Here is a 24,404-nt window from a genome sequence, read left to right on the forward strand (position 1 = left end):
AATAGCAAAGTTGCAAATACAGCACAAAGTTTCTTTTTTTTTTTTGAGACGGAGTCTCGCTGTGTCGCCCAGGCTGGAGTGCAGTGGCGCAATCTTGGCTCACTGCAAGCTCTGCCTCCAGGGTTCATGCCATTCTCCTGCCTCAGCCTCCCGAGTAGCTGGGACTACAGGTGCCCGCCACCACGCCCGGCTAATTTTTTTGTATTTTTCAGTAGAGATGGGGTTTCACCGTGTTAGCCAGGATGGTCTTGATCTCCTGACCTTGTGATCTGCCCGCCTCGGCCTCCCAAAGTGCCGGGATTACAGGCGTGAGCCACTGCGCCCAGCCCAAAGTTTCCTTTTATCTCTCACCCCACTTCTAATGTTAACAGCTCACATTACTATAAAATTATCAAAAACAGGAAATAAGCATTGGTATGATGTTGTTAACTATAGATCTTATTTGAAATTTATTACTTTTTCTTTTACTAGTGTCTGTTTTGTGTTCCAGGAACCTGTGTGGCATTTAGTTGTTGCTTGTTTGTAGTCTTGTGTTCTAGTCTACCAGTAATATTTCCTTAGACTTTCACTGTCATTGATGATCTTGACACTTTTGAAGAGTGTTCACTAGTTATTTGATTGAATATTCCTTAGTTTGAGTTTGTCCAGTGTTCTCTCATGATTGAAATGAGATTATGCATTTTTGGTAAGAATACCACAAAAATAATGATATGTTCTTCTCAATGTATCATTACATGAGATTCATGATGTTGATATACCTCACCGATGATAATATTCACATTGATTACTTGGTTAAGTTGGTGTAGGGTGGGTTTCTCTGCCGTGAAGGTAGTATTTTTCTCTCCGTATTTTATAAGTATCTCGGGGTACTTTTGAGACTGTGAAAGTCCTTTTTCTCTTCAAATTTTTGCCTGCTATTAGCATCTACTGGTGAGGCTTGTTTGTGACATTTATGGCTATGGTGTTTACCTAGCCATAGGCTGGAGTGTAGTGGCACGATATCAGCTCACTGCAACCTCTGGCTCCTGGGTTCAAGCAATTCTTCTGCCTCAGCCTCCTGAGTAGCTGGTACTACAGGCGTGTGCCACCGTGCCCGGCTAATTTTTGTATTTTTAGTAGAAATTTTTGTATTTTTAGTAGTCAGGCTGGTCTCAAACTCCTGACCTCAGGTGATCTGCCTGCCTCGGCCTCCCAAAGTGCTGGGATTACACACAGGCATGAGCTACCACGCCTGGCCTAATGGTGATTCTTTATTTTCCTTTTTTATTTTACATTTATTTATTGGACTTCTGTGTGTTAGAGCTACCACTTCTTTATTTAACTCATAATTCCTATCAGTATGAGCTCTTGGTTATTTTATTCTATAGGATGTAATCTAATACTATTATTATTTTGTTGCTCAAATTACTACAAAGCTTTGGCCATTAGGAACTCTTTCATGTTGGCCCCTGTGTTCTTTTGATAAGCTCCTTTTTTTTTTTTGAGACACGGTCTCACTGTTGTCCAAGCCGGAGTGCAGTGGCACGATCACAGCTCACTGTAGCCTTGATCTCATGGGCTCAAGCCTCAGCCTGCCTCAGCCTCCTGAGTAGTTGGAACTCCAAGTGTGCGCCACCATGCCCAGCTAGTTTTTTCTATTTTTTTTGTAGAGACAAGGTCCGACTTGTGTTGCCCAGACTGGTCTCCAATGCCTGGGCTCTAGTGATCCGCCTACCTTCACCTCCCAAAGTGCTGGGATTACAGGCATGAGCCATTTATTTATTGTAGAGATGGGGTCTTGCAATGTTGCCCAGGCTTCTCAAACTCCTGGGTTCAAGTGATCCTTCCATCTCTGCCTCCCAAAGTGCAGGATTACAGGCATCAGCCACCCTTTCCTTACTTTTTGATAGTGTTAATACTTAGATGTTCCCAAATGACATTGATTTTGCCTGCACTAGCCCTGAAAATTAGTCACTTCTCCAAGGAGCCCCAGTTTTCAAGATGTGGGTGCTAAGCATGCTCATTGTTAGCAAGTAGGTTATCATTGCCTGTAGGCCCTCTCAGCAAATAAAGTTAGGAAATACATGTATGGATACTAATGATGCTTATATACACAACTGTATTTCTGTATCTGTCTTATCCTTCCTCACTATCCATCATTTATCCATCTTTCCTAAAAACCATGAGTTTATACTGTTATCTCTGATTCTAGTTCAATACTACAGGGTTAATTTTTTTTTTTTTTTCTTTTTTTGAGATGGAGTCTCGCTCTGTCGCCCAGGCTAGAGTGCAGTGGCGCCATCTCCGCTCACTGCAAGCTCTGCTTCCCGGGTTCACGCCATTCTCCTGCCTCAGCCTCCTGAGTAGCTGGGACTACAGGCACCCGCCACCACACTCGTCTAATTTTTTATATTTTTAGTAGAGATGGGGTCTCACCGTGTTAGCCAGGATGGTCTTGATCTCCTGACCTCGTGATCCGCCCGCCTCGGCCTCTCAAAGTGCTGGGATTACAGGCGTGAGCCATCATGCCCGGCCACTACAGGGTTCATTTTAGCCTTCCCACTTAGTATTATTTTTGAGACAGGTTCTCTGTCTCCCAGGCTGGAGTGCGGTGGCTCTGTCACAGCTCACTGCAGTCTCGACTTCCCAGGCTCAAGCGATCCTCCTACCTCAGTTTCTGAATAGCTGAGACCATAAGTGTATGCCACCATGCCCAGCAAATTTTTTTTTTATTTGTAGAGACAGGGTCTCCCTATGTTGCCCTGGCTGGTCTCGAACTCCTGGGTTCAAGCGATTCTCCTGCTTTGGCTTCCCAAAGTGCTGGGATTACAGACACTAGCCACTGCACCCGGCCTTCCCCCCCCCCCCCCGCTTTTTTTTTTTTTTTTTTGAGACGGAGTCTTGCTCTGTTGCCCAGGCTGAGTGCAGTGGTGCGATCTCGGCTCACTGCAAGCTCCGCCTCCCGGGTTCATGCCATTCTCCTGCCTCAGCCTCCCGAGTAGCTGGAACTACAGGTGCCTGCCACCATGCCTGGCTAATTTTTTGTATTTTTAGTAGAGACGGGGTTTCACCATGTTAGCCAGGATGGTCTCGATCTCCTGACCTCGTGATCTGTCCACCTCGGCCCCCCAAAGTGTTGGGATTACAGGCGTGAGCCACTGTGCCCGCCGCACTTTTTTTTCTGAATAGGAAAAAGGGTTAAAAACAAAAGAAGAAAATAGGGCTAGGTGTGGTAGCTCACGCCTGTAATCTCAGCACTTTGTGGCCAAGGCAGGAGGACTGCTTGAGTCCAGGAGTGTGAGATCAGACTAGGCAATATAGTGAGACCCCGTTTTTATCAAAAATAAAAAAATTAGCCAGACATGGTACCAGGCACCTGTGGTCCCAGCTACTCAGGAGGCAGAGGTAGGATTGCTTGAGCCCAGGAGGTTGACATTGCAGCGAGCCAAGATAATGATCATGCCCCCTGTACTCTAGCCTGGGCAGCGGACTGAGACCCTTCCTCAAAAAACCAACCAAAGAAAGAAAAAACTTGTTTCTGATCCTAAGAGTACTGAGAGAGTGAAGTCCTTTATTGACCTTCAGATCCTTACATATAAAACAACTATATTCCACATGTAAGTGCTAATTTCCACCACAGTCAAAACATTATGCTTTGGCAGTTACTTTAACTGGTAAAGATGACTTTTGTAAAAAGTTAAACACTGTCCTTTTTCAAACTTTGTAGATTTATATATAGCTCTTTCCTTCTATGGTGGCAAAACATTGTTCAAAACCTTCAGAACTTTAAATTTACCAGGGAATTAAAAAGGGGAGAAAAATGTCTCAGATAAGAAACATATCGAAGCAAACAGGATTTTATTTGCTCTTATTTTACTGTTTTTTTTTTTTTCTTTAATTATTGCACAACTATCTTTTTGGTTTTTTTGAGATAGGGTCTTGTTCTGTTGCCGCCCAGGCTGGAGTCCAGTGGCGTAATCGTGGTTCACTGCAGCCTTGAACTCCTGGGCTCAAGCGATCCTCCCACCTTAGCCTTTTAAATAGCTGGGACTACAGGTGCAAACCACCATGCCTGGCTAATTTTTTCTATTTTTCTAGAGCTAGGGTTTCTCCATGCTGCCCAGACTGGTACAACTCTCTTAATAATAGAAAACTTTCATCTTCAGGCCTAATTAATTATAACATTTATCCCTTTTCCATTTCCTTCATGTCCTTGACCACACTGATCCCTTACTCTGTGCTTTGTGTTTTTTGTGTGTGTGTGTGTTTTTTTTTTTTTTGAGACTGAGAGAGACTCAGTCGCCCAGGCTGGAGTGCAGTGGCGCGATCTTGGCTCACTGCAACCTCCGCCTCCCAGGTTCAAGCGATTCTCCTGCCTCAGCCTCCCAAGTAGCTGGGACTATAGGTGCGCGCTACCACGCCCAGCTAATTTTTTTGTATTTTTAGTAGAGATGGGGTTTCACCATGTTGGCCAGGATGGTCTCGATCTCTTGACCTCATGATCCGCCCGCCTGGGCCTCCCAAATGCTGGAATTACAGGTGTGAGCCACCACGCCTGGCCTAATTTTTGTATTTTTAGTAGAGACAGGGTTTCACCATATTAGCCATGCTGGTCTCGAACTCCTGACCTCGTGATCCGCCCGCCTCAGCCTCCCAAAGTGCTGGAATTAGAGGCATGAGCCACCGTGCCCGGCCTGGAATATAGATTTTTTAAAGAGGTTTTGACTCAATGATAATATAACAACAATATGGCCACCTTTTTTACTCTTGGTACATAGTTCTTAGTCTCTGTGAGGCAGGTCTCGGTGTCTTATTCACCAGTTTTCATCTCTAGCACAACATATTCTTAAGTTTGGAGGCCCATGGATATAAATTACCTTCACATATTCCAGTAAATCGGGAGGACATATCAATTACAGTTTCTGGTTAGGGAGGAAGATTTTCCTGGCATGGCTGAAGAGGGAGGCCCTAATTTCTTGTCAGTACCCACTGATGGTTTCAGGAAACCCAGCAAAAACAGGTATTCTCTAACAGTCTATAAGTGATATTGTATCTGTAAGAATCAGTCTGAAATTTTCAGGGTATTTCTCTATGAAGATTAAAGACGGATTTTTTTTTTTTTTTTTGAGGCGGAGTTTCGCTCGTTGCCCAACCTGGAGTGCAACGGCATGATCTTGGCTCACTGCAACCTCCGCCTCCCGGGTTCAAGCCATTCTTCTGCCTCAGCCTCCCGAGTAGTTGGGATTACAGGCACCCGCCACCATGCCCAGCTAATTTTTGTATTTTTAGTGGAGACGGGGTTTCACCATGTTGGCCAGGCTTTTCTTGAACGCCTGATCTCAGGTGATCCGCACCCTTCGGCCTCCCAAAGTGGTGGGATTACAGGCATGAGCCCCTGCGCCCGGCCCAGAGTATTTCTCTATAACAAATCCATGCTTTCTTTTAATTTTAAACTAGGCTCTTTATACTAAACATGTTTTTTGTCTTTGACTTTCTGCAATAAGAGGAACCACACAACTTCCAGAAGTCTTTACCGGCTTTTATGTTAAGGCTTCAGTGTCTCATGCTGCTAGGGAAGATAAAGCTTTTGTAGGTCTATGGTTCTTAAGGGTATGATACTAAATCTGAGCAGAAGGGTGGCATCCAGGCAAATAGGGCAGAAGCTAGGTTATTATTTACACTGACTGTTCTTTTTCCCTTCCATGCAGTGCTCTGGTCTGGGGTCTCTCTGTGAAACACAATCCTCAGAAAGTGGGTAAAGACCATACGTTGGAGGATGAGGATGTCATTCAAATTGTGAAGAAGTGAAACCTTTCCCTTTTCCCATCTGCCGGACGAACCACAACAGCGTTCCCCATGATCAAGCACCCTACCCCAGTTCTTTCTGGTTTTGGCAGTCACTGGATCAGGATCCAGGGGAGGGAGATGGAGGCACCCAAACTGGAACTTCATTTGTCTTACCTTGGTGTCACCTTGTATGTCGAACTGCATAAAAGATCTGGTAGGCTGGTCAGCTACATGCAGCTCATGTGTCATTGTCAGAATTTGTTTTGGGATGGGCTGAATGAGGAAGGGTATATACGGTGAAGCAGCTACAGAAGGGATCCTTGGGAACTTCATCTTGAGTGTGAAATGGATAAAAATATGACATGCTGCATCTTACTTGATGTTTACTTATGGGAACCCCTTCCAAACTAGATATGGCTTTCAGTCCTTTCAAGTAGTCTTTCCCACATGATACTGGAGAGAGGAAGGACTTTATGTAAGTTAATTGATCACTCCCCGCAAGGCTAACCTATTTTGGGAGATCATGTAATTAAGTACTCCGACCAGGCAGATCAGGGTTTGAAATTGCAGGTCCACCTCTAGTTAGCTGTGGAGCCCTGAACAAATTACCCAACCTTTATGAGCCTCAGTTTCCTCATGTAACATGGGGATAGTAATAGCACTTACTTTCTGCGGTGGTGATTGTTAGTAATGGAGGGAGATGGTACTTATATGTCAAATACTGTGCTAAGCAATTTGTAAGTACTCAATGACTCTTGGCTTTTGTTGCACCGAGCCTTTTACTGGGCTGTCTGCCCTATGCAGAGCACAGCTGTACATCATCAGTGTTGGGTTGAATGTTGAGCTGAACTATGTTGCCACCTGGGCCACTAAAATGCTTTTTTCTTTTTCTTTTTCTTTTTTTTTTTTTGAGATGGAGTTTCGCTCTTGCTGCCCAGGCTGGAGTGCAATGGCATGATCTCGGCTCACCGCAACCTCCGCCTCCCGGGTTCAAGCGATTCTCCTGTGTCAGCCTCCTGATTAGCTGGGATTACAGGCAGGTACCACCATGCCCCGCTAATTTTGTATTTTTAGTAGAGATGGGGTTTCTCCATGTTGGTCAGGCTGGTCTTGAATTCCTGACCTCAGGTGATCCGCCTGCCTCAGCCTCCCAGAGTGCTGGGATTACAGGTGTGAGCCACCGTGCCCGGCCAACTAAATGCCTTCTTTCCCATAACCCAGACTTTCTGCTTGAATCCCCATGAAAGTCCTGGCTTCAGCCAATAACTTGGGCGAAGGTGCATTGCAAGTGAGGCAACTGGTGTGATCAAAGCAGGTTTGTGTGTTCACATATGTGTATATATGGAGGTGGGCGGTTTAGGAGGAGGCTTGGTGTCAGGACTACTTGAGAGGATGCTAAGGACATAATCAGATATTTGGGGGACTAGGAATATAGGAATTTAAGGGGATTGCTCTGATTATGTGAAACTGGTTGATGAAAATCTTGGTGTGGTGGGTAACAATATGGACGGAGGGGGCTGGGCCCAGTAGCTCACACCTGTAATCCCAGCACTTTGGGAGGTCAAGGCAGGAAGATCGCCTGAGCTCAGGAGTTCGAGACCAGCCTGGACAACATAGCGAGGCCCAATCTCTACAAAAAAATTTAAAAAATTAGGTGGGCATGGTGGTGCATGCCTGCAGTCCCAGCTGTTCGGGAGGCTGAGGTGAGGACTGCTTGAGCCTGGGAGGTCCAGGCTGCAGTGAGCTAAGATGGGCCACTGCACTCCAGCCTGGGTGACAGAGTGAGACCCTGTCTCCAAGAAATAAAAATTAAATAATTAAAGAATATGGGCAGAAGGGAGGGTATGGACATGTAAGTATGGGGGAGAAATCTTAAACTTGTTAACTAACTTGCTCTTGGGAAGAAGTCAAACATTATTTCAGTATGGATGGAGTAGTCCCTGAGAAAATCAGGAAGAATAGGTTTGCAGCAAGACAGAATTTGATTATTTCTTCAAATGAGGCAAGCCAGAGCTTTTAGCAGGTCATGAGTGATCACAGTGTGGGATTATTCACATACTCAGCCTCTCTCCAGTGCTTGTTTCTCCTGCTGCCCTAATAGCAGTTGTTTCCCTTTGATAGTCTTCCTGGAGCTTGGGCTTGTCACTGTCCCCAGACCTGGAAGGTAAGCTCCTGAAGCCTGGTATGCTAGTTACTTTTCAGAATATCGGCCTTGATACCACTGGTGCATTCATGATAGAGGCCGTGGTCTAGAGCCTGCCCCAACCCTGCAGGGGAACAGGGAAACATTGGCTTTCTGAGCTACGGGATTTCCAGGAAGGTTTGTTCTCCAGCCAGAACATATTGGGTTTCTGGGGACTCTTCTTGCCAAAATTCACTTTCATTGAGCAAGCATTTAGCACTGCCAGAATGTTGGGGAGAGAAGGTTGCTGAAATCCAGTTCATCCTAAGGCCTCAGGATGTTCTGTGAATAGGCTTTGTGTCCATCATTTAGCACCCTCCCCATGGCTTGGTCCAGGGACCCCTGGTCTCCTTGAGGAGAGAATTACCCTACCTTTCCCTTTCTCCTCTGGGCTTAGACTTAGCAGTTCTGGGAGAGGGGTATGTTTGGTATTGGGAATGCTGCCTAGGGTATGGCCACTGTGGAGGTACAGCTAAAGGCTTTCTCCTCATTAACTCTAAGACTTTACTGGTTTGGCTGTCATAGCATGATTTGAATTTCCTGTGCTTTTACATATTCCATGTTTCTTTCCTGACTTTATTACAAGTAAACAGATCCATTGTTCTGTGCCATTTAACTAGTTAGAACACGTTTAGCTGCATTTAGCAGAAAGTGCTAACTTAAGCGGCTGAAATGGAAGGGAACTTGGTCTTACCTTTTTGGGAAGCTGTTTTCCAGAAGCCACCCAGTTTGTTGTCTCGTGGCCTAAAATTGGGTCACATGTCTATTTTTGAATCAATTGTTGGTAAAGGGAATAGAATTATTGAAGAACCAGAATTTAACCCTGTAAGTTATCGTCATTCTTGGTTTGTGTTTATGCTCATAGTTCACAAAGGCCAATGGACCTCCCACTTCCCTTCCCTGTTAATAGAGTCTGGCTTAAAAGACACTCAGTAGCTATCTCCTAGGGGAAGGCCTAGCTGCACTCTCTGTTCACTTCATTCCCACTTCCTTTTACCACTGACCTCCCACAGACTTATTTAACTGCTTCCTTTGGGAGGGACTATTCTTTCCTCTCCTACCTGACCTCCCCTGCTTAACAGATTTTCCATGATATGCTTTGTGGTCCTCAGCTGTTTTACTTTCAGGATGCCTTCTATATCCTCAGCTTCTCTTAACTTTTATTTTGCACATCCTTCCAGCACTGATTGCTTGTGAACTCATCTCGTGCCTGCAAGACATCAAAAGTTTCTCCAAAGACATCCCTTCCTCTCTGCCCTCATCCTATATCAAGGTCTTAGCTCCTTGAAGACTGCATTAATGTGTCTTTTGCCTTCATCCCCCCCCCACCCTCCCGCTTCCTCTAGTCCTTGTGTTTACCAAAATACTTTTGCTAAAACCTGTATGTCTAGCTTCTGCTGATACTCTTAGCAATACTCCCTTATTTCCTTCTGGCGCCATTTGCCAATCACCAGCTAATGGCTTTGCTCTTTGCATGGTACCTGTTTCTGTCCTACTAGCTTCTAGTCTGAAAAGGAAGCCTTTACTAGCAGCTTCAACCCAGTCCTCCTTACCTTGCACCTATTAACGTTGGTTCAACATGAAGGGGAAGTAAGATAAGTGGAAGAGGATACACAGGAAAGGTGGAACTGGATTCAGGTGTCTGTGTTCTGCCATTGACACTTGGGACTGCGTTCCAGCTTCCACCTGTGGAAACCAGAAAGCATTTGCCAAAAATTCTAAACAGAGGGTCTATTTCTGAAGCTGAGGAATCACATGGAGTGAATAGCATGGGGGAAGGGGATTACTAATGAGGCTGAAAGAAAAGTACCAGGAAGAGACTGACTTCATGCATAATCCATAAAGCCAGGTTTTCTTGAAAGGTGACCTGCTTTCTTGTATTCCTGCAAGTACACGGCAGGGTGGGCAGTTCCAGGCTTATAGTCATTATTCCCTAACAAACGGTCAAGACTTAGGCTGCCCAAGACTCTACTACCCTTGTAGTCAAAAATCCAACCACCTTGACCTTTACCTCATTATCTGACCCTTTAGCATGGAGTCCTAAAATGGTCCTGAATGGACAAATATCTAGAACTCTGGTAAATTAACTTGAGTAGCATGGGAAATAAGTATCACCTCATAGCAGGACTGAAAAACCTCCAGTTAGGAAAGGGGACTCAGAACTGTACTGTATTCTGTAGAATCTTTATCCGTAAGTGCTATGTATATACTAATAGTTAAGGTGAATAATAAAACAATTGTGAGCTAAGGAATGTGATACAGAACACAAGGAGTCAATTAATGCATGAGTCTTAAGGGAAATTCTTAGACTTCAGTGGGTCTAAGCTCAGAACTCTGAGCTTAGAGAAACAGGATGCCCCAGTAAACATGATTTGTTTGAGAGAAACTACCATATGTAATAGATGATTCCTCAATAAACTGTTTTCACTAGGTCAGTTTAATCTTGGAAATTACACTATAGATATCCTGGTATTAGCCACAAGGCTATGCTATCTATAGGGTCAGTCCAGTATAAACTGACCTGTTGGGGTCTTTAAAGCTCAAGGAAAAAGGCCATAGTTGATTTCTCCTAAATCAAGATAGAGTCCAATTAACTTTTTTTTTTTTTTAAGATGGAGTCTCACTCTGTCGCCAGGCTGGACTGCAGTGGCGTGATCTCAGCTCACTGCAACCTCTGCCTCCCAGGTTCAGGCGATTCTTCTGTCTCAGCCTCCCGAGTAGCTGGGACTACAAGTGTGGGCCACCATGCCCAGCTAGTTTTGTATTTTTAGTAGAGATGGGATTTCACCATCTTGGCTAGGATGGTCTTGATCTCTTGACCTTGTGATTCGCCTGCCTCTGCCTCCCAGAGTGCTGAGATTACAGGCGTGAGCCACAGTGCCCAATTTCCATGGGTTTTCAAGAAAAACTTAACTTACTTAAACTTCAGATCACTTCCTTAAAGGAACATACTGAGCATAGCTTGGCTGGTTAGAAATTAGGAAGACTAGCTTGGGCTACATGGTAAGACCCTGCCTCTACAAAAAATAAGAAAAAAGTTAGTGGCATGTGCCTGTAGTTCCATCTACTTGGGAGGCTGAGGTGAGAGGATCGCTTGAGCCCAGGAGGTTGAAGCTGCAGTGAGCCACGATTGCACCACTGTACTCCAGCCTGGGTGACACAGAGTGAGACCCTGTCTCCAAACAAAATTAGGAAGGGTTTCAGAGAGGAAATAAACACAACAATGTCAGTTACTTCATTCACACACTTAGCATATGCAATTTTAATCAACCAAAAGAAAATCCCAAATGTACAAGTGAAAAAAATCCAAACTGTTGACACAGGCCTAACTAATATCAGCTACTTTTATGTACAGCTGTATAGTTCAAAAAAGCTATCCTATATGTATATACAAAAGTTGTTTATACACAGGTCTGTACATAAGGGTCTATACATTTATTTCCTCAGAACCCTTAGGTGCCACCTCTTGGTGAGGACACCAACACTTCATTCACATATCTTACAAAAAAGAAAGACCATTTCCAGGATTGACAACATTGTGCATCCTGTATTCAGACAATGTACACTCCACTCGACTGGTTAAGATCCTTCCATCATAATGCGGACCACACCAGATGCATGGGTTCCACCAAACAGCTTCACACAGAGTGCTCCAAAGTAAAAGCCCATAAACCAACCCGAGATGAAGCAGGGTCCTGCCCAGTGTGCCACCACAGGTCCGGGCTTAGTTGAGTCTGCCTGCCCTGCTCACTGTCGGTATTCCAATTCATCTACACTGATAACTTTGGCGGGCATGGAGGGCAGGGGTTGCTGTAGCACATCTGAGCCAAACCATTTGGCAAGGCCCACAGGGGAGCTGCTCCTCTGGCTGGGGCGATGCTCCAGCTGGGAGTGCATGTGGGGCAGGCCTGACCGGCTGGGCACGTTCTGAGGGGTTGTCTGAACGCTGACAGCTGCTGCATGGGAACCAGAGCCTGGAGGATGCAGAACTGTGGAGATAAGAAGGGTTATCATTCACAGCATGAGAAGGAAAGTTTATTAGACCCTGCTTCATTCAAACCCTATCCAAAGAAAAGTCTTTACTAGAGGATTTTTTCTAGGGCTTCTTTAGAAACTCCTTTGCAAAATACCAACAATGCCAGAAAACAGTACCATGGAAAGCTGAGCTATTCAGAAGCTACCAGTATTGAAAACCCACCCTGGATGACATGACCGCTACTTCTCATGGCTAAGTAACCACATCACAGAAGCAGCAACATGAACTGGTGAGGGGGTATATACCCTGGGCAGGCCGGATGCTGAACCTCTGTTGGATTCTCAGCCCTCTCTCCTAACAGGCAAAGGAAAAAGCCAGAAAACACTTGGCTTTTCCCACTGACTTTGCAGGAACAGTAATCCCAAATTGCATAGAGGTCAATTTACTTCATCTTATTATCTGGTTACACTTTGTCCCAAACTTAGAACAAGTTAAAGAATGAAAGTGTTAATTCATCTCCACTGGAAACTAGTCCTCAAAGCTTCAAGACTCCCTAAGTCCGTCCCAAACTCACCTGTCACATTCCTGAACCTACCTGAGCGCTGTAGCTGCTGTTGCACCATTGCCAGATGCAGAGGTGTTCCAGGACGAGGGTTTAAGAGAGGGTGACTAGCAGCAGGTAAAGGGTAAAAGGGCTGACCCAGGATGGGGCCAGATATTCCCTGTAAATGACTCAAGTCCATCCCAGGAGGAAGCACACCTGTTGAGCAGAAAAAGCAAGCAGCTGAGTAGTCTTAATGTTACCTGGAAGTTTTCCAGCTTCACTGTACAGTTTTGCTGATCTGGAAGTTTGTTAAGAATGAAGGGCTCTGCGCAGTGGCTCACGCCTGTAATCCCCAGCACTTTGGGAGGCCAAAGCAGGCGGACCACGAGGTCAGGAGTTCGAGACCAGTATGGCCAACATGGTGAAACCCTGTCTCTACTAAAAATACAAAAATTAGCCAGGTGTAGTGGCAGGCGCCTGTAATCCCAGCTACTCGGAAGGCTGAGGCAGGGACCTAGAACTCGGGAGAGGCAGAGGTTGCAGTGAGCAGAGATCGCGCCACTGCACTCTAGCCTGGGCGACAGAGCGAGACTCAAAAAAGAATGAAGAATTCTCTGGCTCACGCCTGTAATCCTGACACTTTGGGAGGCCGATGTGGGTGGACTGCCTAAACTTAGGAGTTTGAGACCAGCCTGGGCAACACGGTGAAATCCTGTCTCTACTAAAATACAAAATAAATTATCCGGGTGTGGCGGCGTGCACCTGTAGTCCCAGCTACTCGGGAGGCTGAGGCAGGAGAATTGCTTGAACTCAGGAGGCAGAGGTTGCAGTGAGCTGAGATTGCGCCACTGCACTCCAGCCAGGCAGACAGAGTGAGACTTCTGTCTCTACAAAAAGGAAAAAAAAAAAAAAAAAAAAAAAGAATCTTCAAGCTAGGTTCCTAATCTTTTAAAGGACTAGGGGATTGACTGGATTGGGCCCACTGCCTGCCAGTTAGATGGGAGAATCTAGTAACATCTTTCTAGGGATGGAAATCTCCCACATTATAGCACTTCATCAGTGCCAACAATTGTCCCCTAGGCCCACAAACTGACGACACCCAAGTCAGGCTGGAAACTCACCAGTTTGGAGCAAACTTGGAAGATGCTGTGGATGTACTCCCTGGGCCAGCATCCTCTGTACCAACCCTGGGTGAAGCTGGTGAGCAGGCCTAACCATAGGGACATGGGGGACAAGGGGAACTTGGTGGACAGGGCGGAGAAAAGGTGTTGTAGGAACTGGGGATGCCAAGGTGGGTGTTTTTCTCCCAGTTGCTTTAGGTCGATAATCTTGTTCTTTGGTGTAACGGTTGGCCTGGGACAGTGGGGTGGAACACGAAGACCTCTGTAATGCTGACAGTTTGGAATTTGTAGTGGGAGAAGAGTCTCGATCGGCACTGGGTACAGAGCTGGATGACAGGAGGTTTTCTGTGAGGAACCAAACAAAAAATATTTTGGCAAACCTCTCCCAAACACTTGTGGCCTCCCACTGGTCTAATAAATCTCATTTCTTAAGGTCACAATTCTTATCTGATACCCTTAACAAGTTTAGAGGACTACACGGTAGGAACCATCGTTTGCTTCATAAACAGGACCAGAAGATGAATTGTTGGGCACCCTTCTCTGCACAAATGGCTGTGGCCTAGATTATGCAAATCTATCACAACAGAAAATCTAAATGGCAATTAGAGTCTGGTCAAAGAACCCAAACTGTCTTAATAGTACCAACAGGATTTCCTCCCCACCACCCACCCCAAGCCTTCTCAAACACAGGCAAAAATCTCTCAGATCTGTACTTTTAACACCTCTGTAAACCCTAATTTGGAATCCGCATGTTACCACGTCCTTCACAATCCCTACTGTGCAACTCCTAAAAGCCTCTCACATATTTTCTATGTTGGACACTTAAGTCTCCACAGGCTGGACATAATCTTTCAGAAGTAAAACTCGCTGAATTATATTAATTTGCCAAATAAGTATACTAATTATTAACTTTGAAGCCTAACTAAGGATTCTAAACTAACACTCATTCTACCCGTCTGGTAGTAGCACTCTTAGATTGGTCAAATTTCAAGCAACCAAGCAATTGTGAGCTGGCCCAATTCTTCTCACTGTCACACAGAACCTTCTCACTGACACAGAACCATAGTCCAGAGAAGCTAGTGGTCTTGCCCAGGGCTTTGTATAGAATATCAGGCTGGTCAGCGCTCAGGCCCATGTTTTCTCCATCACATACTTTCTTGAGCAGTGCCCTTAACAGCTCTGCAGTACCTTCACTGGCCTTCTGAGTATCCTCTTTACTGTCACCAAGAGCTGCTTTTCCAGATGCTGGCTCCTCCTTGCTTTTCTCTTTGCTCTCGTACATCTTACGAATCACTGAGGTAGGGGTAAAGGAAGGAGAAAGCTGCAGAGAAAAACAATTGGCATTAGCACATTCTCTAAGTGCCGTTCTCTAATACTAAGCCAGGATTAACTTGTCAAGATACTCAACAAAGAGTCCCCACATTGGTAGCATAGGCCAACTGTAGTATTCTGTTCTGTAGCTGCTGGAGGAAAAACAGAATGGGGCAAATAGGCAGTGTCCCAAGTACATTATCCCTTGCTTACAACTGTGTGATAATGGGGACATGCCTATGCAGCCTCTGCGTCACAGATTTCCCAGCCTGGGATTAGGCTGGCAAGAGAAAGAACATGGCCAGAAATATAACTTGGAGCAACAGACCTTCCTTGACATTTCAAAGATAACATCAAAACCAGAATTACTCCATACTCCTAATATTTCCCTTAACTTGGCTACCAGAAAAGTCAAATTTATCTCAATAGTCTCCTCAGCCATCAGGATTAATCATTTGGAGTCATTTCTTACCTCTTCACTATTTCTACCTTGGTGATTTTATTATGCATTTGCCTTTTCTCACCAAACAACCCCACATCTTTGATGGCAGGAGACAGGGCTTGACTTATAAACAAAAAAGTTCTTTCCAAACCCTGCTGCCTTCAAGGTCACCGGTGCAAAGACCCACGTGGGGTTCTGAAGCACGCAGCAAAGTTATTTTTTTTTTTCCTTCTTCTCTATCGGCTTTGATTAGATGATAAAGATTTGTGGGGAATGAACCTTTTTTTTTTTTTTTTTTGAGACGGGGACTCACTAGGGAGGGCAGTGGCACGATCTTGGCTCACTGCAACCTCTGCCTCCTGGACTCAAGTGATCCTCCCACCTCGGCCTCCCGAGTATAGCTGGGACCACAGATGTGCACCACCATGCCCGACTAATTTTTTGTATTAGGGGTAGAGACAGGGTCTCACTAGGTTGCCCAGTCTGGTCTTGAACTCCTGAACTCAAACAATCTACCTACCTCGGCCTCTGAAAGTCCTGGGATTACAGGCGTGAGCCACCACGCCCAGCTGGAATGAAACATTTTTTAAAGTAATGATAGTTATAAAACTAGACTTCTCACTGCATATAAGCAAACCCTTCTGTTCCAGCCTTAGTTTATATCACTGAGACCTGAAGTGGTGAATCCGAATTTGTGAACTCCCCTGCAAGTTTCAATAGACTCCCCACTGTCTGACCCAGTCACCTCTGTCCACTTCACCTCCTGTCTCTCACTATCGTCCTCCTGTCTCCCCACACCTGGTTCATTTCTTTGAACATACTATATCACCTCGTGTGCCCTGGCCCATGATCATCTCTGCTGGAACATATTTTCCCCAATATAGGGGCTTCATTAAAATCCTAAGACTTAGACTGTGTCCTAAAAGGGAAAGACCTAATAGACAGTTATGAAAAACTACTAGGTCAGTTATTTCCGTGGAAGGAACTCAAGGACATTTAGGGCACACAGTGGTACAATCCATGCACAACCAAACAGGGAGAAGCCTTAAAGTCCTTCACAGTTACTAAAGGTCACTGACCATGCTTGTGATGGAGGCAGCAGGGGCAGGGGAAGAGGAATTCCCTCGATGCACGGGTGCTGGTGACTTGGTCACTCGCTGTTGCCTGTGAACAAACCAATTATCAGCATGAACCCCAATCTGCTTAACTTCAAGTCTTAAAACCATATAATACTCAAGACCAGCCTAGAAGTTTTAACATCCCCTTTCCCTTATCCAATTCAATTTCCCAAGCATTTAGGCCTAACATACACAAAAGCACATGCTAAGCTCTGAGGGAAGACAAAAGGAAAATGAAACACAGTCCCAGTCTTGTAAGAGCTCTCAGTCTAGCGGGGGAGACAATCACCTAGAGCAAACCAAGGCATGTAGATATTAGGCACCAACAAAGTACAATGGGAAAATGGAGGGGTTAGAAGAAATAACAAGGCACTGCAGGGATGCTTCCTGGGGAAGAAGCTGCATTCCATTGGGTGCGATCAAGAAGAAGCTAGAGAACAACAGTTCAGGTAGACAGAATAGGTACAGGAACTTGGGAGTTGTAGGGTTATCCAGAGCTGGTGTATAGTTTACTGCAGACTACACCAGTGAGGTGCGCTAGGGAGGGCCTTCATTCTTGGGCTGCCTGTGCTTCACTGGGCAGGGAGCGGCAATAATTAGCACAGTGCCTGGCACAGAACTGATGCTGTGTGTGACACTCGTTCAAATCAAATACAGAATCAAGAGTTTCAGCTATTTTAGGACCACTCTTGGTCTACACAAGATTGACCTCAGGCCTCAAAGGTCAAGGCCCAAGTATAGTCACTGACCTGAAGTTCTCTGAATCACAGATAGATGGAAAACCTAAATTCATGGCTTCTTTCTAGTTAGTACCCCATTGCTGCCATGCTGTGACTGTGTGTATGACAACATGGGCAGACAGATCAGTACTATTCTGAGTGACTAAAAAATGAACCCCAAACTTGAGGGTCCCACATGACCTATCATTCCTTCTGGTAAACATATTTGAGCACCTGCTACAGACACTGTTCCAGGTTCTTGGAATACAGCAGTGAATAAAAGAAAAATAATCTCTGGCCTCATGGAGGTTACATTCTTGGGGCTGCAGGATGGAGTGGGGTTACTACAGGCAGGGAGACAAACAATAAATAATATGCTAGACAGTGATGAATACAATTTAAAAAAGCAAGGTAAGGGGAAAGGCATGTTTGTTGGAGGGACACAACTGTACACAGGGAGGACCTAAGAGGCTGATGCTGATCCAAAACATGAAGGCTAGACTGAAATGACTCAAATATGCTTGCTAGTTTTGAGTAAGCCATGTTTTAAAAACCTGTTTTCTGTATCTGTAAAATGCAGTTACGTACCGCCCCCCCCCCCCATCTACCTCACAGGGTTGATATGAAGATCATATAAAATTCTGGGCCAGGTGCGGTGGCTCATGCCTGTAATCCCAGCACTTTGGGGACCGAAGCAGGTGAATCACTTGAGGCCAGGAATTCAAGTCTGGCCAACATAGCGAAACCCCATCTCTACTAAAAATACAAAAAACTAGCCGGGTGTGGTGGCACACTCCTGTAATCCTAGCTACTCGGGAGGCTGAGGCATGAGAACTGCTTGAACCCAGGAGGAGGAGGTTGCAGTGAGCCAAGATTGTGCCACTGCACTCCATCCTGGGCAACAGATCAAGAGATTGTCTCCAAAAAAAAAAAAAAGTTAAAAGTACTGTGAAAGTCACAAATCACATCAATGAATACTAGGTAACTGCATTATGCTATAGACAGAAAGCACGTGAGAGGGGTTCAGCAGACCAGTCTGGAGCTCTCTGTTTCGGTGGAAGGGTGCTATAAATAGGATGTGCTTGTGTAAGGCTATCTCCTGGTCTCAGTATCTTCTGAAAGGGTTAACAGGTAAAACCAGCTGAAGCAAAACACTGAGGCACTGTGGTAGTAACTTTAAGAATCACATCAAAACATTAAGTACCGAGTATTTTAAAGGTAGACTAAACTATAGTGTTCAGGGATGTGCATTTTGGTGATAAATTATTTTTAATTAAGGTAGTGATTACTTTTAAAGGCTGGACAGTGGAGAGTTCTGAGGAGGAAAAGGGGTATTACTGGCACAGGGCACATGGAGGCCCTCTGAGTAGTTAACAAGGAAGTTTGCCTTATAATAAGCTACACATTTGTTTTATATAGTTTTGTCTGTTTTATTTTACAATAAAATAATATTGCCACTCCTTTCCCTTTTCTCCCTAACTTATGATTAATTTCATTTTACCATTTGTTGCAACTATCGAAAAAGAGAAGAGTGAACTCAGTACTCTACTTGTTAACAGCTCTGATCAACAAACCTGTCAGCTCTGGCCAAAAAACTGCTGATGTAGCAAACCTGCATCAAGGGAGTTTGATAAGAACATTGAATCTGTGGGGAAAGGAATAAGGAGCTATGCTAGTTTCATTTGTAAAAATGAATGGTTTAACTGGTAGAAACATCCTAAGATTTTAAAATATATTTACTCATAACAATCTTGTGAGGTAAATTAGGCGAGCAGCATCCCTTCCATATGGCTAATTAGCAAACTCAAGGAAAAAAAGTAATTTATAAATCAAGAACGGAAATAAAACCATATAGAATGAAAGCCCTATGCCTTGCAGTAGAATTTAATCATATTTCCGCTATTAAATCTATTTCTTCTATTGATTTGGATTGGGATGGAATTTCTACCACATACTGAACATACCACAGTATGTACAACAGAATTATACTGCAGATAAGTAATTTATTAGTTTCAGGAAAACTTATCCGTAAATCTCCACATGAGCAGGATTAGTAATTTACCTGTTTCTGAATCCATCTCTGGTTCTGTCCACCTGTGGTTTGCCAAAACCAGGCTGGTAGAAGTTTGCTGCCTGTACAGCAAGGTCATGTGGCAAGGCCAGCCCTTCTAAAGCTGCCTGTTGCAACTCCAGCTGGCTCATCTGCTGAAAAGGAGAGGGGAGGGTCAGGAGAAGAGTAAGGACACCACACTTTCTACAAAGGTTTCTCTTCACTCTTAGAAAGGTATGTTAAGCAGAAGCTGAAAAAAATTAGATACTGCGAAACTGACTAGATTGTGCTGCCATCGCAGTGAACAAGATTAACAATTTAAGTATTACTTGAATTATTCAGCAAATTGTCTAACCTTCACTGAGCTTGAAATATAGATCAAAACCATTTCTTTTAGAGACAGGGTCTCACTCTGCCACCTAGGCTGGAGTACAGTGGCACCATCATAGCTCACGGCAGTCTCAAACTCTTGGGCTCAAGCGATTCTCCTGCCTCAGCCTCCTGTGTAGCTGGGACTACAGATGCATGCCGCTATACCTGGCTCATTTTTTAAATTTACTTTTGGGCTCAAGTGATCCTCCTGCCTCCACCTCCCAAAGTGCTGGGATTACGGGCATGAGCCACTATGCCTGGCCTCAAAACCATTTTTAAGAATCACAACAGTTCAGCTCTCCACTCCCCATGCACCAAGAGGGTGAAGGGCAAGCAAGAGATTGAGTTTGAGAAAGCTCAGCCTGACCTGGGCTGTGATGGGGCTCATGGGTTTGCGCATGCCTTGGAATGGATCTCCGAGTAGCTGCTGTGGTCCTGGTGTGAAACCTGTCGGGAAAGTTAGTCTCAGTGAGTACCAAGATGGTATGTGTGCATCAGGGAGGCATTTTCATTAATGCATGACATTTCTTGCTGAACGCCATCTCTTGGAAAGCACTGATTTATTGGGCTGACAGATGTCCCTCTCCCTCTGTGCCCCAACAGTGGGCTATGTGGACCTCAACCAGAGCACTGTCCAAATTGCTTCTCAACTAAGCCATCAGCATTGCTCCTTTTAAAGCCAAGACCTCTCTCTGGGAGAGAAGAGCTTTCCTAGCCAGCAGTTTGTCCCGTTATCACTAAGCCAGCTGGTATTAAAATAGACACCATTGCTCTGAGAATACACATTCTCTCCATTGTTTGACTGTGGACAGAAGATTTCAAAAAATGCCTCTCAAGGTTTGTTTGGCAGGAGCCAGAGTGGCCAGCAGCCTAAAGTGGCCTAGGATAGCAGGAACACTACGACATTCCATGTAAATACTTTGCTAAGACACTTTCTGGAACTTTTCTTTCAGTCACATTCTGAATTAGCCATAAGACTTAACAGCAGATTGTCTATCAAAACTCAATAGCTTCATAGATAACCACTACACTGACTTCTACTATATCAAAGAAAAACTTAAGAAGCCAAATTAACTTTTTTTGGATTGAATTCCCAAAATAAGGAATAAGACTAAAGAGCTAGATCAAAGTTAGATTTCAATAAAAAAAAAATCTATAACATGAACATATTCACCTAGAAGAGCAGCTGGTATCTTCCACGTTTGGTACCCCATCCCCCAAAAGTATATTTATTTATTTTTTTGAGACAGAGTCTCGCTCTGTCGCCCAGGCTGGAGTACAGTGGCGTGATCTTGGCTCACTGCAACCTCCGCCTCTCAGATTCAAGCGATTCTCCTGTCTCAGCCTCCTGCGTAGCTGGGATTACAGGCATGCACCACCACGTCTGGCTATTTTTGTATTTTTAGTAGAGATGGGGTTTCACCACGTTGGCCAGGCTGGTCTCAAACTTCTGACCTCAGGTGATCTGCCCACCTCGGCCTCCCAGAGTGCTGGAATTACAGGCATGAGCTACCGTGCCTGGCCATAAATTCATATTTCTTTTGACAAATAAGTATATTTACCAATTGGTGATGGTATTCTTGGGCGAAGGTAGTCAGCTGAGGCTGCTCGAGTTTGAAACACCTGTGACAAGGGAGGAGAGGGTGCTCTTTGGCCCAGTAAAGATGTTGTAGGCTCCAAGCTCCCCATAAGGCCACTCAGAAGATTGGAAGAAGCAGGTCTCTGAACTGGTTGACCCAGAAGTTCCTAAAGGCAGAAAAGCCAAATCCCTGTGAACTTAGTTATTCCTTCTACTCAGAGGCTGTGAATTATGGATTAACTTTTGAGAGCCACAAGATGGATCTCCCTCATGCTCAACTGAAGGACTTGGCATGTGTACATGCAACACATTTATCTGAATGTTCAGCTAGCAACATATGCTCTAAGTTAGTGCTATAAATAGAGGTTCCTTTTTTTTTTTTTTGAGACAGAGTCTCACTCTATCACCCAGGCTGGAGTGCAGTGACATGATCTCGGCTCACCACAACCTCTGCCTACCGGGTTCAAGCGATTCTCACGCCTCAGCCTCCTAAGGAGTTGGGATTACAGGCATGTGCCACCACACCAGGCCAATTTTTGTATTTTTAGTAGAGTCAAGGTTTCACCATGTTGGCCAGGCTGGTCTCAAACTCCTGACCTCAGGTGATCCACCCACCTCAGCCTCCCAAAGTGCTGAGATTACAGGTGTGAGCCACCGTGCCTGGCTAGATACTTTTAAGTTTCACAGAAACTGCAAAGGAAACTAGAAGTCAAGGCTTACTTTGTCAACTTTTTTAGCCATCCCCTATCCCCTGCCCATTGAGATTAAAAGCAACACCAAACTATGTCAGGCAACAATATCACCTCTCTGATTGCCAGGCAACACAGATCATTTTCTAAGGCCCAAAGTTGGACCACTAAGCAAAACTGGTTCAGAAGACTACTGTTCAAGACTCCAAGGCCTCAGTATAAGATTGTGAAGTACCTGCAGGATGTTCTTAGGGACAGGCTGGCCTGGAATCTCAGCAGGGGACATCAAATGGCTTTCAAGGTTTCGCTAAAAGAGTCAAAAGAAAACTGGTTTTAACTTTCTTAACTCACTTAACTTACAGATTGATTGGGGACCACAAGAAAGCATAAAATACTCCTAGGGAGTTAATAGCAGAATGATACTCAAGTCACAGAAAACTTAGACCAACGTGTTCCGCTCTCATCACACAGGTCTCAAAGATCTGGGGATGGAAAGACCGTTCACATGTACATGCAAAGTCCCCTCAGAGATCCTCACTATGCTAATCCTAAGTCCATTTCCCTGTTTCTAACACTGTGACCAAAAGGGGGAAAAATGGTGAAACCGGGGAACACTTACTTGAGATAACTCTTGCTACCCATTACCTTTAACAAGATTTATTGGAGACACACACACACACACACACACTCATATATACACACATACATATATACATACATATATACACACACATATACACATATACATACACATACATATACACACATACATACACACATATATATATACTACACACACACACACACACACACACACACACACACACACACACACACACACAAAAGAGACAGGGTCTTGTTCTGTTGCCCAGTCTGGAGTGCAGTGGTGCAATCATGGCTTGCTGCAGCCTTGACCTCTCAGACACAAGCGATCCTCTCATCTCAGCCTCCTGAGTAGCTGGGACTACAGGTGTATGCCACCACACCCAACTAATTTTTATATTTTTTGTAGAGATGGGGTTTTGCCACGTTGCCCAGGCTGGTCTTGAACTCCTGGGCTCAAGCAATCCTCTGGCCTTGGCCTCCCAAAGTGCTGGCTAAATTATAGACGTGACCCACCACACCCTGCCTACACATATGGTTTTAAAATCCTAGTAAACAACATGCAGGTTTGGCCAAAATTGTTATATTTCAGAGTTTCATATTTCAGGAAATTTAAGCTTTATTATTTTATTTTTTGAGACAGAGTCTTGCTCTGTCACCAGGCTAGAGTGCAATGGCACGATCTTGGCTCACTGCAACCTCTGCCTCCAGGGTTCAAGCAATTCTCCTGCCTCAGCCTCCTGAGTAACTGGGACTACAGGCACATGCCACCACGCCCAGCTAATTTTTTTTTTTTTTCAGTAGAGACGGGGTTTCACCATGTTGGCCAGGATGGTCTCGATCTCCTGACCTCGTGATCTGCCCGCCTCGGCCTCCCAAAGTACTGGGATTACAGGCATGAGCCACCGCACCCGGCAACTTTATTATTTTTTAAACGAGCTGTTCCAAAATGGGTATCACATACAGGGCAAAATTCAAATCCTCCACTCTTAAAGCAGTAGTGGTTACTTTTTTTTTTTTTTTTGGGACAGGTCTATGTTCTCCAGGCTGGCCTTGAACTTCTGGGTTCAAGCAACCCTCCCACCTTGGCCTCCCACGTAGCTCGAACTATAGGTGTACACCACCAGGCCTGGCCAGTGGTTACATTTTGTGCATCCAACCTGGAGTCCCCTCCTGCATTTCAGGACATCCCTATGCCCATTTAGCTCTGTGTGAAGTGCTTTCTCTGGTGTAGTTTCCCTTCCACTAGATGGAGCTGTCAAAGTCCAAAGCAGTGTCTAGGCATGACAAATAGCTCAAGAATACCCAAGTATTTTATTGTTGATTTTGGAACTGGGACTAAAGGCAGATGATTTTATAAGTAATCTCTTTAAGAGTCATTTACTTCCATCTAATAAAAACAAATAGACAACTTTATACTGCATGGCTTATTATACTTGGAGGATAGAATCTATAATTTAAAACAGAATTTAGATTGAACCAGCATGTATTATTTTTGGATGAACCAATATGACAACCTAAATGGATGGAGGCAGATCAGAAATAGTATACAAAACATACACAGCAGTAGTAATTAAAGACACCGAATTCAAAAAGTAAACCATGACTTAACAACATGCAAATTGAGCAATATTTTGAGATAACACCTGCTATTCTTACTCCATTACTTTCCTTGTTGTATTCTTTCCTGCTAGCTGAGTTTGTCTTAGCCTTTGCCTAGCCACTTGAATGTGTCATCCATCCGTTTGGCAGGTGTTTGAGGCTCATTTGCTCAGCTAAAACCAGATACACTTCTGAGTGCTAAAACCCCAACATCAAACCAACTGCCCTTACAACTCGAGTAAATTGTGTTAATATCAAATCCTAGAATCATATCTGCAATAAAATGTGGAAAAACATCAGGTAAACTGCTGAATGCCCCCTTCCATATTT

General features: G+C 44.6%; 2 protein-coding genes across 13 annotated transcripts in view; one reads left to right on the forward strand and one right to left on the reverse strand.

The window, feature by feature from the left end:
* The window catches only part of DRG1 (developmentally regulated GTP binding protein 1), a 34,849-nt gene extending 28,581 nt beyond the window's left edge, over positions 1-6,268 (forward strand). Inside the window, exon 9 of the mRNA NM_004147.4 lies at positions 5,688-6,268. Coding sequence (NP_004138.1) covers positions 5,688-5,787 — 100 coding nt within the window. The 3' untranslated portion in view covers positions 5,788-6,268. The remainder of the gene's footprint in view (positions 1-5,687) is intronic.
* A 2,510-nt stretch (positions 6,269-8,778) lies between these two features.
* EIF4ENIF1 (eukaryotic translation initiation factor 4E nuclear import factor 1) overlaps positions 8,779-24,404 on the reverse strand; it is a 56,606-nt gene continuing 40,980 nt past the window's right edge. For 5 of the 12 annotated variants that reach the window (XM_005261688.4, NM_001164502.2, XM_005261686.4 and 2 more), the window contains 9 exons: positions 22,105-22,176; positions 21,164-21,347; positions 19,969-20,048; positions 19,242-19,384; positions 16,422-16,506; positions 14,778-14,910; positions 13,590-13,934; positions 12,520-12,684; positions 11,183-11,937 (listed from right to left, as the gene is read on the reverse strand). In XM_005261688.4, the coding sequence (XP_005261745.2) occupies positions 11,696-11,937; positions 12,520-12,684; positions 13,590-13,934; positions 14,778-14,910; positions 16,422-16,506; positions 19,242-19,384; positions 19,969-20,048; positions 21,164-21,347; positions 22,105-22,176 (1,449 nt within the window). In that variant the 3' untranslated portion in view covers positions 11,183-11,695. Of the gene's footprint in view, positions 9,635-11,182; positions 11,938-12,519; positions 12,685-13,589; positions 13,935-14,777; positions 14,911-16,421; positions 16,507-19,241; positions 19,385-19,968; positions 20,049-21,163; positions 21,348-22,104; positions 22,177-24,404 lie in introns of those variants that run through there. The other 7 variants (XM_011530280.3, NM_019843.4, NM_001164501.2 and 4 more) reach the window with 5 other exon arrangements.

The sequence above is a fragment of the Homo sapiens genome, chromosome 22, assembly GCF_000001405.40.
Source record: "Homo sapiens chromosome 22, GRCh38.p14 Primary Assembly".
In the NCBI taxonomy this organism is placed as follows: Eukaryota; Metazoa; Chordata; class Mammalia; order Primates; family Hominidae; genus Homo; species Homo sapiens.